Source organism: Homo sapiens, chromosome 12 (genome assembly GCF_000001405.40).
Source record: "Homo sapiens chromosome 12, GRCh38.p14 Primary Assembly".
Taxonomy (NCBI): Eukaryota; Metazoa; Chordata; class Mammalia; order Primates; family Hominidae; genus Homo; species Homo sapiens.
Window position 1 is genome coordinate 97,507,046 of NC_000012.12, and position 15,062 is coordinate 97,522,107.

Genomic DNA, 15,062 nt, shown 5'->3' on the forward strand with positions numbered 1-15,062 from the left:
TTCAATATGATGGAGCTCTGAGTGTACATGTATGTGAGGAAAAGGAGGTAAACAAGGAGTTAGAAAGATGTGATGAGACCAGGTGGTGATGGACTGAATATAAAGCAAAGACATCTGGATTTTTAATTCTGTAGGGAATAGCTGACCAAGGTATATGATTACATGTCTGCTTTTTAAACAGCTTTGTGATTTGAAATGCTGGGTTGTTATTGTTTTTTTTTTGTTTTTGTCTTTTTTTTTTTAAAAAAAAAAAGATGGCTAACTCTGCCAACCATAGACAAATATGCATACTGGCATGTGGAGAAAGAAGACAGGAATTGTTAGAAAGATTTCATTATTTTCCAGCCTCCAAAATAATGAGGTAATTTTAGGCATAGTAATAAGAATGAGGAAGACAGACTAGATTCAATAAACATTTTTGAGTTAGTATCTGCAGATGTTAGTGGCCAGTTGAATGAGATGGAGCAGAGAGAGGGAGAAGTTAATGATGGCAGTGAATGTTCTGGTTGAAAATACCACAGTGGATGGTCGTGCCACTATGACTTATACCAGAAGTAGGCCAATTTAATGGGGCTGGAGAGGGAGATAAATATTGTTTAAAATGCCTCTAAGAAATCCTGGTGGAGATCTCCAGAGGTTAGTAATATGAACATGGAACTCAAAATGTTGTGAGTGTTTCATTCTTATTTTGTATGTCTTGAGACAGATGAGTGTTGAATGGAGGAGGTAGTATTTGTGAGGCTGTAGAACCTCTTTTTTCTCAACATCTAACCTGGGAGAATGAATGAAAGCATGGAAGAACACTGCAGCTGGGCACTTGGCAAGCCAGCTCACATTAAAAGAAAGTATAGAATGGAAGAGTCTGTCAAAGTAGACACAAGGAAGCGAGAGACACTCAGACCAGAGTAGCCCTATGGAAACGAAGGCAAAAATGGTCTTGAGCAGAAGAAACTCAGTGGTATCAAATTTCACAAAGTGGCCAAGTAGCATAAAGACAGGGTGGAGTAGTATCAGACTTTTGTTGGAAAAAATGTTTATGATTACCTCAGAGAGAGTGAATTAGTGGGAATATAAGTTATAGTATAATGGATGAATTAATACGACTTGAGGAAGTTCAGAGTCAGCAATGGTAAGAAGGGAAATAAAATGTTATCTATAAGAAGTAGTATGACCAAAGTAAGGCTTTCGAGAAAGTGAGAGAGTTGAGCACATTAGAAGGGAAAGATGTTTATAATGAAAGAAAAGAAAAGAAGAGAAACACTAATGAAACAACTCCTGGGGGAGGTGGAAGAGAGTGCAAGCCAGTGCTGTGGAGAGAAAAATGTATACCTCCCTCCTCCAAGATTAGAGGAAAGAAGCTAAGCATGATTGTCAACTGGTAAAATGAGATTTCCTCCTCCTGGGGTCCTTTATTCTTTCAGAAGGAGGAAGAAAGGTGGTCAGCTGAGAGTGGACAAAAGGAGAATTGTAGAGATTTGTAATAGCTGGTTTGAAGACTAGGACAGGAAGCTGAGAAGATGCAAGTGAAGGGATTTCTGAGAAGCAGTGAGATGCTAAGTTAAGACTGGAAACCATCCCCTTATACTGGCATCAGTCTGCCCAGGGTGTAACTTTTTTGTTGTTGTTGTGTTTTTTTTGTTTTTGATTTCTTTTTTAGCATCATTGAGTAGCTTCAGAGCAGTAGAGGAAATCTATTGATTAATTTACCCAGAGTAGGAGATTAATTCAGGAGTTTAACAGAAGGACAGGAGGCCAAAATATAAATGTCTGAAAGTAGTAACGTAGTGGGGTAGAAACTAGACGGTCAAGAATTACAACATTGCTTCTGCTTTTTACTACAATCGTGGAGGTTTAGGCAGAAAGGCTTAATTTATTCTGAGGCAGCTTTAAAAGAAGACAAATATTTAGACAGAAATCAGCTTCTCTTTTTACCAGATTCATCATTGCTGAAGACAGCATAAATGGAGGAAACCTAGACTCACTGGCTAATTTTCTTGAGGTTTTATGGTAAAATGAATTCTCGGAAAGTTCATCCTTTGACTAGGATTTTAACCAGGAGACCGTTGTTACTTTGTTTCAACAGCTGTGTTACCACTTTCCTTCTCCCTTGCATTCTAGTTAGTATGGAATAATAAAAGATTGACCTTTAGAAAGGGAGCATTATCAATTTATTTATAAAGATTTCACCATAGGCATACAGCTGATACTTGAGTTCCTCTGATCTGTTGATGTCTTAAGTCAAACCTATAATTTACTGTTATTGAAATTTGTTGAAGTCTGCCTTCAAGTATAAAAAGCTTTTTCATTAATTCGTTATATGGGATACGGCATAGTGGACTATATACTGAATTGCAGGCCAGGTTCTGCCCTCAGCCACTTAAGTCCAAATACATCACTTTATATTTTAGGGCCTCACTGTAATTAGCATAAAAAGAACCTCTTTCCTCTGAGGTTGAGACAAACAGCCTGCCTTGTAGGGGAAGTCACCTTATAATAAAATTCCCTTAGGTGGACAACTAAGTGAGTTCTACATTCTCTCCTTCTCTCTCTTTCCCCATCTCTCTCCCTCCCCTGACCCTTCTCCTCCCCTCTCATACTGAATAAAGTCAGAATATTCTGGAGACAAATACGAGTAAGATCAAACATCACCTCCTTATCTCTCACTCCAGTCCCCAGTACAGGAGCCCTGGATTGATGGAGGTGCCCCTCTGTTTTCCTGGTGCAAATGTAACTTGTTCAATTATACAGCCAGTCAACAAATATATATTGAATGTCTGTTGTGTGATAGGCATTTTTTTGGGTGATGGTGACATCAGGGAACCCAATACTCTGCAGTACTATTTTTATTTCACTGTGTTAAAATTTTATGCTCATTTTTATGACTTCCCCACTAGACTATAGCTACCTGGGGAAAATAATTTTGCCTTATTTCCTCAAATCTCAATGGTCTAGCACAATGTTTGACACATAGAGGGTGGTCAATAAAAGACTGCTGGATAAGTTAATTATTAGCTAATAGATTAATATACATGTACACTCATTTATACTCTGAGATTTATAAGAGAGGAAGCATTTATGGAAGACATAGTAAGTATCTGCTATGTTTCATTCAAAGAAATACATTTAATTAACTTGGTTTGTTCTGTGACCTTAGAAATGAAGCAAATGTAGGATTTTAGAGAAAGTTACAGTTAAATTTCTCTAAGAAGCGTTTTCTGAGGTGCCAACAATAGATAGAGGCATAGAAAAATCCTATTCATAAAAACCAGAGGGGCAGATTAAGCCCACAGAGAAAATAAGATCTTTGGTTTTCATTGTTAGATCTAATAAGTGATTTCCATGAGTCACTTATTTATTTTGTAATTGAGCAAGTAATAAAATGAATTGAGCATCCACAGCTTTGCTACAAATGAAGATGGACCATTACGTGCTCTTATTTAATACGAAAGTAAATTTTCATGATAGTTTAAAAAATTGGTACAGTGTGTGTTCATAATGCTATTATTCAAAGAGGTGATTATCCAGTTCCTCACAGTAGAATCTTAGTTATTCTATTTGAAAGGAATGTTTTCACCAAATTGCCAAATTCTTCAATTCATTAGTCAAAGTTGCCATAATCTTTGATCACATAGGGAGTTACTTCTTGGTTACTTCCTGAAGCCCAGTAGGTGAAACAGCATTTGTCTTGCATGTTCACTCTATGTGACATCCACCAAAATAGTCAAAAATTTAAAACAATTCAATTAATCACCAGTCTATTTTGACCCATTCCCACCAATAAAGTCGATAGGCTGAATGTTATTTTCCAGTCACTTTTTTTTTTTAAGTTGAACTGAGTAGTTGATTTGTCATTGTGCAAACACAATTTATTCACATGGAGTCCATAATTGGGATCTTGTTTCTCCTCTCTGGGATCTTTTTATTGTTTTTCACTTCATCAATTTCTGCAGCCACAGTTACGAAAATCCAAAATTTGACTTAAATTTCGAAGTTGAAATTTGTGTTATTATTTTTGTTTGAGACTGGAGCAGAGGAGGGAAATTACTTCAGGGAAAATGTTTAGTGGGCAATTATAATAAACTCTCTGGGAAATTGTACTTCCTTCTTTTTTTTTTTTTTTTGAGATGGCGTCTCGCTCTGTCGCCCAGGCTGGAGTGCACTGGCACAATCTCTGCTCACTGCAACCTCCGTCTCCTGGGTTCAAGTGATTCTCTTGCCTCAGCCTCCCAAGTAGCTGGGACTACAGGCACGTGCCACTACATGCTGCTGATTTTTGTATTTTTAGTAGACACGGGGTTTCACCATGTTGGCCAGGTTGGTCTTGAACTCCTGACCACAAGTGATCCACCTGCCTCGGCCTCCCAAAGTGCATGAGCCACTGTGGCCTGTACTTCTCTTTATTAGAGCAAATACAAATTACCCTAGAGAGTTTCTCTTTAGAAATTTCTTGCTATTTTTTCCTTTCATATTCTCTTTCAATTTTCTAAAAAGAACTGCATAAGGTAGTGAAAGGAATATAGGATTTGAATTCTGAAGTATCTGATTTTGAATCCTGGCCCTGGAATTTACTTTTGGTGTGACCCACAGCAAGTTATTAATCTTACTATGCCTCAGTTGCCTCATGTAGGAAGTAAGTACTATTTTGAAGAGTAAATGAAATAACTAATTACAGCAGCATTAAAAATGGAATGATTGATCTACAGAGAGATGTTTACTTTGTAGTTGAAACTAGGGGGTATGAAAATGGCAAAATGACTGAGTCCATTAAGTCTCATAGGCTAACTAGGGCCATTACTTTATAGCACCTTTTATACATACACCTTCATGTGTATACCTGTTGGTATAGTTTTAGCTATTGGAAACAATCTAAATCAACAAGACAATATTCAATAGTTATGTGTCCGGAATTGGTGAGTTCTTAGTCTCACTTCAAGAATGAAGCCGCGGACCCTCGCAGTGAGTGTTACAGTTCTTAAAGGTGGCGTGTCCAGAGTTTGTTCCTTCTGATGTTCAGATGTGTTCGGAGTTTCTTCCTTCTGGCGTTCGGATGTGTTCAGAGTTTCTTCTGTCTGGCCGAGTCTGGCGGATTCGTGGTCTCGCTGGCTCAGGAGTGAAGCTGCAGACTTTCGCAGCGAGTGTTACAGCTCTTAAGGTGGCGCGTCTGGCGTTCCTCCCGGTGGGTTCATGGTCCCGCTGGCTTCAGGAGTGAAGCTGCAGACCTTTGTGGTGTTACAGCTCATAAAGGCAGTGGGGACCCAAAGAGTGAGCAGCAGCAAGATTTATTGCAAAGAGAGAAAGAACAAAGCTTCCACAGCGTGTAAGGGGACCCGAGCCGGTTAACACTGCTGGCTCCGGCAGCCTGCTTTTATTCTCTTATCTGGCCCCACCCACATCCTGCTGATTGGTAGAGCCAAGTGGTCTGTTTTGACAGGGCACTGATTGGTGCGTTTACAATCCCTGAGCTAGACACAAAGGTTCTCCACGTCCCCACCAGATTAGCTAGATACAGAGTGTTGATTGGTGCATTCACAAACCCTGGGCTAGGCACAGGGTGCTGATTGGTGTGTTTACAAACCTTGAGCTAGATACAGAGTGCCCATTGGTGTATTTACAATCCCTTAGCTAGACATAAAGGGTCTCCACATCCCCACCAGACTCAGGAGCCCAGCGGGCTTTACCCAGTGGATCCCGCACCGGGGCTGCAGGTGGAGCTGCCTGCCAATCCCGCGCCCTGCGCCTGCACTCCTTAGCCCTTGGGTGGTCGATGGGACTGGGCGCAGTGGAGCAGGGGGCGGCGTGTCGGGGAGGCTCCGGGCTGCACAGGAGCCCACGGAGGCGAGGGGGAGGCTCAGGCATGGCAGGCTGCAGGTCGGGAGCCCTGCCCAGCGGGAAGGCAGCTAAGGCCAGGTGAGAAATTGAGCACAGCAGCTGCTAGCCCAGGTGCTAAGCCCCTCACTGCCTGGGGCCTGCCGGCCGGCCGCTCCAACTGCGGGGTCCGCCGAGCCCACGCCCACCCGGAACTCGCGCAGGCCCGCAAGCACCGCGCGCAGCCCGGGTTCCCACCTGCGCCTCTCCCTCCACACCTCCCTGCAAGCTGAGGGGGCCGGCTCTGGCCTTGGCCAGCCCAGAAAGGGGCTCCCACAGTGCAGTGGCAGGCTGAAGGGCTCCTCAAGTGCCACCAAAGTGGGAGCCCAGGCAGAGGAGGTGCCGAGAGCAAGCGAGGGCTGTGAGGACTGCCAGCATGCTGTCACCTCTCAGTTACAAAGCCCTATATGGTTTTTGTATTTTAAAAATCAGTTTCATGAATAGAGAATGGAAGGGCTCTGGCTTGTCAAAAATACAAATACGCAAAGATCCAGCAGCTTTAATGGACTGATTTATTCCTACACTCATTTCTAAATATTTATTGAGTAGAGTGCCTACTATGTGCTCGATGTTGAAGATGGAGAGGGAGAGTCAACAAAACAGACCAGAGCTTCTGCCTTCATAGAGCTTCTATTCTAGTGTTAACCTGTAAATTTAACCCTAAACAAATCTGATGAAGCTGTTGTGAAAGAGAAAGAGGGAATTAGCTCTTATATTACCTATATAGACGCAGTTTCCAACTACAGTAAATTAGAACTGCAATGAGTTTTATTTTTATTTTAAACACACCCATATTCTTATGTTTATTTTTGGTGATGCAAATCAAAAGGGGTATGGATCAATTGGAGTGTCTTGGGAAGATAATGCCATGAATTTTTCTGAAGACCATGTGCTATGGTAAATGGTGTGCTATGGGAAATGGGTGAAGGAACTGTATAGGTTATGTCCAGAAAAGAAAAGGGTCAGGAGAAATGATAGCTGACCTCAAGCAGTGAAGAGCTGCCTCAAAGGAAAGGCAACAGATGGAGTTTACTTTGTTCCACTGTAGGACTGGAAGCAAACAGTGGCAGTTTTTTATGAGGTAGATGTTAGCTCAAGACAGAACTTTCCAATTATAAGGGTTATTCTTAAATAAGAGGTTGTCAAGGAGCAAGAGGTCACCAGCTTTCTCTTTGCAGAAGGTAACTCAGCAGAAACTGGAAGTACAGGGGCAAGAGTCAAGTCTTGGTAAGAGACTGGCAAAGTGTGCTTTGGATTCTATGACTCTGAAACACCATTCTTGCTCTGTAGTTAATTACTGCAATAATTCATAGCCTACGAAAGCTCAGAGGCAACATATTTCCAGATGACAACATCCTTATGGGTTTCTGACCTTTAAGGTTTCCTAGAATTTTGCAACTCTATAATTATCTCTGTACCTGGAAAATTCTATAGGAAATGACAATGAAGCTTTTCTTACTTGTCAACCATGTTCAAGAAATGTTTTCTGAGCATATGGATTTCACTTTTGTTTTCCAAAATAGTGATTGGAGATTTGCCTGTTTAAATCCCCCCAATTTTTAGCCAGGATTGAAAATGACAGGTTATTCTAATGCCCAAATATTAATTTCTATGCCATATCTATATCTATATATTTCATTGGCCAATCTTCTTTAAATTTTCTGGATTTCGATTAGTTCATTCTGAACTGTTGACAAGCTAAATTTAGCTAACAATTCATTGCATTAAATGCCTGTTCATTCTTGGAAAGTATATTGTTTTTTTTTTTTCTTAGCAAAGTGACAAATACCATTTTCATGACAATAATAGAGATTGATTACATTTTATGGAACACAGAGTAAGAGCTGATCTTAGTGAGACAACCTTGGGACTTATAAAAGGGAAAAAAATCATTTGAATTAATAATGAAGTTAATGAATTCATCTGTTGCTGATGAAATAGAAGTATTTAGAGAAAAATGAAAAGTTCTGCTGCTACACAAACACTGTCAAGAATTAAGACCAATTTCAGTACTTTGGAGGTGCTGGTTTTGTGAAACCTTTTTTTGTGTGTGAAACCTTTTAAAAAGTTAATACTCACTGTTTTCAAAGCTAAAGCTATGATATTGATCTCTGGCTTACCTAAGCATACTGCGTGATAGTAATTATATTGAAAGACATTTTTCAATTAAGTTAGGAAAAGAGTAAATCATGATCAATGAAAACTAAATTTGAACTATTAAGAAGCCTATGGGGAGCAGTTTATGTTTCTGATATGATTTATGCTCTAAAATTTCACTAGTTTCCTTTACACTCTTAACTTTTCATAGTTAGGCCTAAACTAAACCAAATATTCATGTGCTTTATTATTCTTCCTTGCTTCTCAGTATCACTTTCCTTATCACCTAAAAGGCATTATTAAAAATCAAAAAACAAAAAATCTGCACATCTATTATAGTCTGAATGTATGTTTTTAGAGAATAGAAATAAGAAAAAAGGGAGGTATTTAAAATGTTGAAGTAAGTTGTGGCAGACCTGGAAGACAATGCATGGCTAAAGTACAGAATTACTTTCTCTGAAAAATCTTTAAAACAAGGAAACCAGTTCATGTCTGTTCAGGGACCTTGCCAATTTCTTCATCTTTCATCCCCATCACCTTAGCATTGTACCAAACATAGTATCAAACACACAGTAGGAGCTCAATAATAATTAAGTGAATAAACATGTTTTCCCAATAGGGAAAATAAATAAAAATCATCATAGCAATCAATGTTTGTTGAGCTACTAATTTGTGCCATAGAACTTATGTATTTTATCTCTAATATTTGTAATTTTTACATTGTTATAGGGTGATAAGTCCCAGGGGTGGGGTAAGAATAAAAAAATGAGCATTGATGAAGCTGAATAATATTTAAATAGCTTCTGAAAATATATGTTTATGTATTTGGCATGGTTATGAAGAAAAATGACCATGCCTGAGGATTTGAGAAACACCAGAGAACTTACTGTGGATATTTTTAATCTATGATTGTGCTATTATTTTAAAATATTTTCCAATTGTTTCACATGTATATATTTTGTCTCTTCTATAAACTCTTTGTTGGTAATTTTTTCTTTTTGGTCTTTCCTAGATGCTCTCTGTATCATCTAACTACAACTTTGTATTCAAAGAGTTTCTAAAAATCATAGGTCATTCCTATGATGAATCTCCAGTTTTTAGAGATGTATGATACAGAAACTATGTCAACAGTAGTTGACTATTTCTTTTTATCATATATCTTGAGAAATCCTTTATATTATTTTTTCCTTTTATTGGAATTGTAATTTTACATTATGGAAGGAATAGTTTTGCTCAAGAACCTAATGCTTGCTCATATTGTAAACCATGGCTCAGTTTGTAAACCATGGCTTTGAAAGTAACGTAAATAAAACAACAGGTGTAGGGTGTGCTAATTGCCGTCACATTTTGTAAAACCCTGCAGTACATAACTTATTCATCATTTCCTATCTGAATAGGTTTGGCAAAACTGTTCATTTCCCTGTAACATACACAGCCAGCAAGGGATACATGTATATCAGTGGTGCTATTAAATATTTGAAAACTTGATTCAATGTACATTGAATATATCTTTATAATTTATAAAATTAAAATTTACTTTTTTCTTCATATTTCTTACAATTAGGAGTGAAGGTAGATTACAACAAATTGCTGAAAAATTCACAAGTAAACCCTAAAAATACATAAATCTTCCTAATTATATAGAGAAATTCATGATGAAGTTATGTTCTTTCTATGGTGTTTGAAAGTTCAAAGAACTTTTCTGACTCAAAAGATTTATGTTAGTTTTGTGTTAATTGCTTTAGAAATTGCTATATAGGCTATAGAAAAAAAATCCATCTTTATATTACATAAAATTAGTAATTTAAAGAGCATCTATTGGGCATCATTTTGAAAATGAATTGCTGTAAAATTACTTCCTGCATATTGCAAGCTACAATATTGTATGGGAAGTAAATACCTAACATTTACAATATTCTATGGGAAGTAAATACCTAATAGTATTATTATGAGTTGTATAGTCTTATGAAAGGTATCTAATGAATGATCAAGTATCATAATTACATAATTTAGCCTATAAGTTCTAGTATTATGTGTATGTATTTATTTCAGACTCTACTCTTTAAAGATTAGATATTATAAACTCTCCTCTTATCAGATGGAAAGATTGATAGATGAATAAAAATGGAAAGCTTTTTGTAACATAAAAGTCAATACATACATCATTCACTTTTCTGAATGGTTTTTAAAGACCGTAATTTCACTTAATTTTGAGAATTAATCAAACAGAAAGGAAGCCAGCTTCTCCTTCACACCATCTTCAAGTGGCACTATTTTCCCAAGTTATTTAAAATCTTGGGCAAGCATTTAATATATTTTTCAAATATTATATAAGTTAAAATTTTAAGTTTATTAAGTTATAGAAGAGTTTTACTCATTGTTAAAAAATCTGAGTGATACAGACATGTAAATCAAAAGGGGAAAGCCCTATCTTCACTTCTTTTTCCATTCTCCAGATCTGCCAGTTAAGGTTTTTCTTTAAAGAAAGAAAAACATATATATATACACATAGAAACACTGCTTTTTTCATTAAAAATTGGATTATTCTATATGTATTTTTCTATAATTTGCTTGTTCAAATCAATCATCTTGAGCATTATCCCACAATAACAGGTTTTTCAGAATTTGAGATCATAACTGCATAGTTTTCCATACTACACATGCACTTTGATGTAACTATGCCTTTGCTGATGTTCTTGTAAATTGTCTCACACTTTTTTTCTGTAAATTAATAATTATATGAACATCTGTGTATGTGTCTCTGTGTGATCCTTCTATTTATCATCATGGGCTTCTGTAGTTACTTTTCTAAGCTAGACTATAGTCACTTTTTTATTGTTAAGGAATATGTGCATTAAAATTTTTCTTACGTATTACCAGTGGTTCCTTGAAATGGTGTATCAGTTTCAACTCCCATAAATAAGTATCAATTGTCCTCTTCACAGGACCTTCACCAGCACTGAATATTACTTAGTCTCTTAATTTTTGACAAATATTTCAGTATTTATGGATGATTTATTAATTTTTCTAATAATTATCCAAACTTATTTTTATTTCTCTGAATGGTTAGAATTGAGTAAGACCTTCTGAAAATGGATACTTGAAGTAGAGTTATCAGAGATAAAGTAGAGCACTTTTTAAAAGTTTTTTTTAAATAGAAATGTTTTATTGAAATTAGTTCAATTTAAGTCATTCTTAAAAAATAAATTGGAATACTGATACATAGAAAAATCTGATGAGATTTGGGATTAAGGACTTCTGTTTTTAAGAGAACTGAAACTATTGATATTTATTTGGAGCAAAGATGAATATTATTACCATACACTTTGGTTAAAATTTAAAAATTCTGATTTGAACTTCTTGCCCACAGTTTCTTCCTGCTCTCTCAACCCTCCCTTCTTAAAGTCCTTTAACTATATCCTTTAGTTCACTTCTCCCAAAATGCTTTAAAGGTTTCTCACTGCCTCATAGAGATTAACAATAATATCATAATTTGTGACCTTGTTCAAAAATGCAATTTCCAGGTCTCATCTCTGAAGATTCTAATTCTCAGTGTCTGGAATGGGTCTGATAACCTGAGTTTTCAATAAGAATGTTAGGCGATTCTCAAGACTATCTTGAGACAGACTGAATCACACATTCCCTCTCAAGTTCTCTCAGACTGGATTCTAGGTTATTCTGTCTCTGTTCTTTCCTCCTGGAAAACCAATTCCCTCCTCTCTACTTCTGTCTTTACCTTATCAAGTCCTAAGTCAAATCCAACCTTTTGCATTTTTTAGAAAAAAGGTCTCGTTCTGTTTGTTGTCCAGGCTGGAGTGCAGTGGTGCAATCATGGCTCACTGCATTCTCAAACTCTGGGCTCAAGGATCCTCCTGCCTCAGCTTCCAGAGTAGCTGAGACTACAGGCACCTGCCACCATGTTCAGCTAATTAAAAAAAAAAAAATGTTTTTATAGAGATGAGGTCTCACTATATTGCCCAGGCTGGTCTTGAGCTTCTGGCCTCAAGCTATTGTCCTGCCTTGGCCTCCCAAAGTGTCGGGATTACAGGCACGAACCACTGCACCCAACCAAATCTCACCTCTTCAATGAAGAATTCTATATCTTTATCCCTCAATGGTCAACTTCTGCATTGTACATCTTCATCACACATTTGGTACTTAGGGTTTAGTACTGTTACTTACAGCTCATGTATAATTCTTCTCTTTGTCTCTGACAGTCCCTTATACATAATGAACACTGTAAAAGTGTGTTGGTTGGTTGACTGAGTGATAATGTAATTAGACTATGAAGGAGCAGGTCAGAGTCTGTACGTCAATCCCAGGAAATCACTTCTTGACATTTGGTGGCTTGTTTTACTCCAGGGAGATTTCATTGCTATCTCTTCAAATTGGATATTGCTTGTTTTGGTGACTACAACAAAAGCTAATGCTTACCATTTGTTCGAGTTTATTAATTGCATATTTGAATCAGTCTACATCAAGTGCGTGACAAATTTTATCCATACCAAAGTTAGAGTTTTAAAATTTTATTTGAAATTTAATGTTCCACAATCGTATAATTTTTTCCCCAGTAGATCTATGTTCCCAAAGGCCTAGCTTGCTTAGCTCTTTGAAAGTAGTTCAGCTTTCTTAAAAGAAAATTGTTTAGATGTTCAGAATCGGTTCTTATCAGTAGCTACAACATAACTTTTTTGTGAGGTCATTAGAATAAATACAACATTTCTCACAGGCACAGAATCCTAAGTGCCTGTGCTATCTTCTTACTATAGTTATAGAACCAGCTTATATAATTTGGTTTTGCTTTAAGTATAATGTGGCAATGTGTTCATAAAAATTGAAATACACTTCATGCTACTAAAAATGATAATTTTCTGAGAATGGAAAACAAGACTAGCATGTATTTACCAATGTTATTCAAGATTGTCTCAAGAAAAGCATTATTCATTTGGAAAAAATAATTGATCACGAGGTAGGCACACTGAAATACTGTTTTAAGGAACAGGAAATTTTGCACTATCTACTTCTCTTATTTTGAAAGTTCAAGCGCTTGGTAAAGTCACCTTGGAAAAATGGAGGTGATTTATTAATTTATTGTTTGTCTGGACTGACAGTGTCTTGACAAATAAAAAGATATCCATCAGACATATCTATTTCTTTCTCTTAAAGCTAACAATTTAGTACAATAGTGGAACGTCTTTGGCCATCCTGGTCTCCTGTAGGTTTGGCTGTGGAGGAGCAGGTGCGAGCTTCCAAAGTGTCTTTACAAGTGTCGCAGTGGGGCTTCCCTCCCATGCCTCTGCAGGAGACAGCTCATCTGTTTAATCCGTATGTTTTAGTCAACCTTTCTTATTATGCAGACAGGGCTCTGAGCCTCAGCTGGATTTTTGACTCTCTGAATGAATTGATGGGGCTCTTTGATCTTAACTGTGTATTGCATCTGTTTCATCCTTCCTCTTAATGCAGTCTTCCATACTCTTATTTTAGTGGGTGCTCCTAAATTAAATTTAAAATTATAATTAATAATTATACAAACAAATAAAAATTGCCATTATAAAACCTAGGCACAAATTCCACTTTTCATCTTGGCCTTTTATTTTTCTTTTTGGCATGCATGATAAACTTTCTTGAAAAATCCCCCAAACGATTTTTAATTCTCTTGCTTTATAAGGGACTACCAGACTTGAGAGTATTTAATTAGGTTCCTATGAGTGTGTATGTGCTTTGTAGGGCCAGGTTTGCATAAAAAATGGGAACTGCCAATCTTTGCAATTTAGTCAATTTTATGATAGCATAATATCTTTTTAATAGACCATATTGGAGCAAAAGGCATACAACCTACACAGAAAAATCTACCATGGAAACATAAGAATCCTGCTGGGCAGTGTTCCTCTGTTTGATAGGAGTGAGAAAGTCTGAGTTGCAGAGAAAATCAGTTAGAATCAGAACAAATCCATATGGAGAATCCATTCTAGGTCATAGGGTGCTAAAATATAATCTTTCTTGAAACAAATCTTTAAAATGAAATGTATACATTCTTATGTGAGGTGGGAGAGAAGGAATATTGAGGGAACAGTGAAGGGATATTGTTTGCTTACCCACCTGTAATCATTTAGAGTTATGATTAATTGAGCCAGAAAGTATCTGCTTTTATATGAGTGACCTTTGATATTCTAATCTGGTATTTTGGAGACTTGTATTAATTATTTTTAACTCTCTATGAATCTTCATTTATCTTTAAGTATACCATGATCTTGTGATGATAACGCAATGTCAAAGCTGTCAGAATAATTTCAGCTGAGCATAAAACTGATGTTTTCTAAGAGCCAAAAGCCCTTGAGAGAGTTATGAAAAAGTCTCTCTCCAAGAGGAGGAATATTGTGATAATGACCTTTTAGTTTATTAAACATTTACTTTATCCCAACATATATATGTATGTATGTATATATAATATACTAATAACCATTTAGGAAATATCAGAATACATTTTTTCCTTAGTTACACTGAGATATAAAATAAGTATGTAAAGAATTTAATTTCTAATCATAACTCTATAATACTGCTGTTTTAAAAACATTCAGATAACTTTCTTTCATTCAAAAGTATCTCTCAAGCCCCCGCATAGTACTCAATCCTGAACTGGGGAGATTTTCATCACTATTTTTGTACTTCCCATATGGAATCTGAGAATAACTGTGCAGGAAGGAAATGTGAAAGGTTACTCAATTCTTCTTTAGGCAGAGCCTCTCTGAAACCCCCTAAAGATAATTTTACCCCCCAATATTCAGTTTGTCTATCTCTCCACAAACTGAGATGTGACTTTATTTATTTATTTTCCCAGTTAACACTTCAATTTGAAAGAAAGCATCTAGAAACCAGCCAAGGAAACATAGTTGGTTTCAGTGAGCATTTTACTTAGATTCCCTGATTTTGTTTGTTTTAGTTTCTTATCTCACATACTTGATTGCTGTGTTTCTTCTATTAAAGTGAAATGAAAATGTCTACACTCTTAGTCTATGATGATTTTGTGCTACTTGTACTTGTGAAAGTTATGATCTGGCCTCTTTTGCATAAAGTCGATCAACACACACCATTTTATTTCC

At 36.7% G+C, this 15,062-nt stretch overlaps 1 long non-coding RNA gene across 52 annotated transcripts in view, besides 1 other annotated feature; it reads left to right on the plus strand.

The window, feature by feature from the left end:
- RMST (rhabdomyosarcoma 2 associated transcript) overlaps positions 1-15,062 on the plus strand; it is a 102,232-nt gene that overhangs the window by 44,242 nt on the left and 42,928 nt on the right. The window lies entirely within an intron of this gene.
- Positions 13,091-13,592: an enhancer, noted in NCBI's record as "NANOG hESC enhancer chr12:97913914-97914415 (GRCh37/hg19 assembly coordinates)". NCBI's record gives its function as "activates a minimal SCP1, AML or CMV promoter by ChIP-STARR-seq in primed H9 embryonic stem cells {active_cell/tissue: H9 hESC(primed)}" and the evidence as "EXISTENCE:reporter gene assay evidence [ECO:0000049][PMID:30033119]".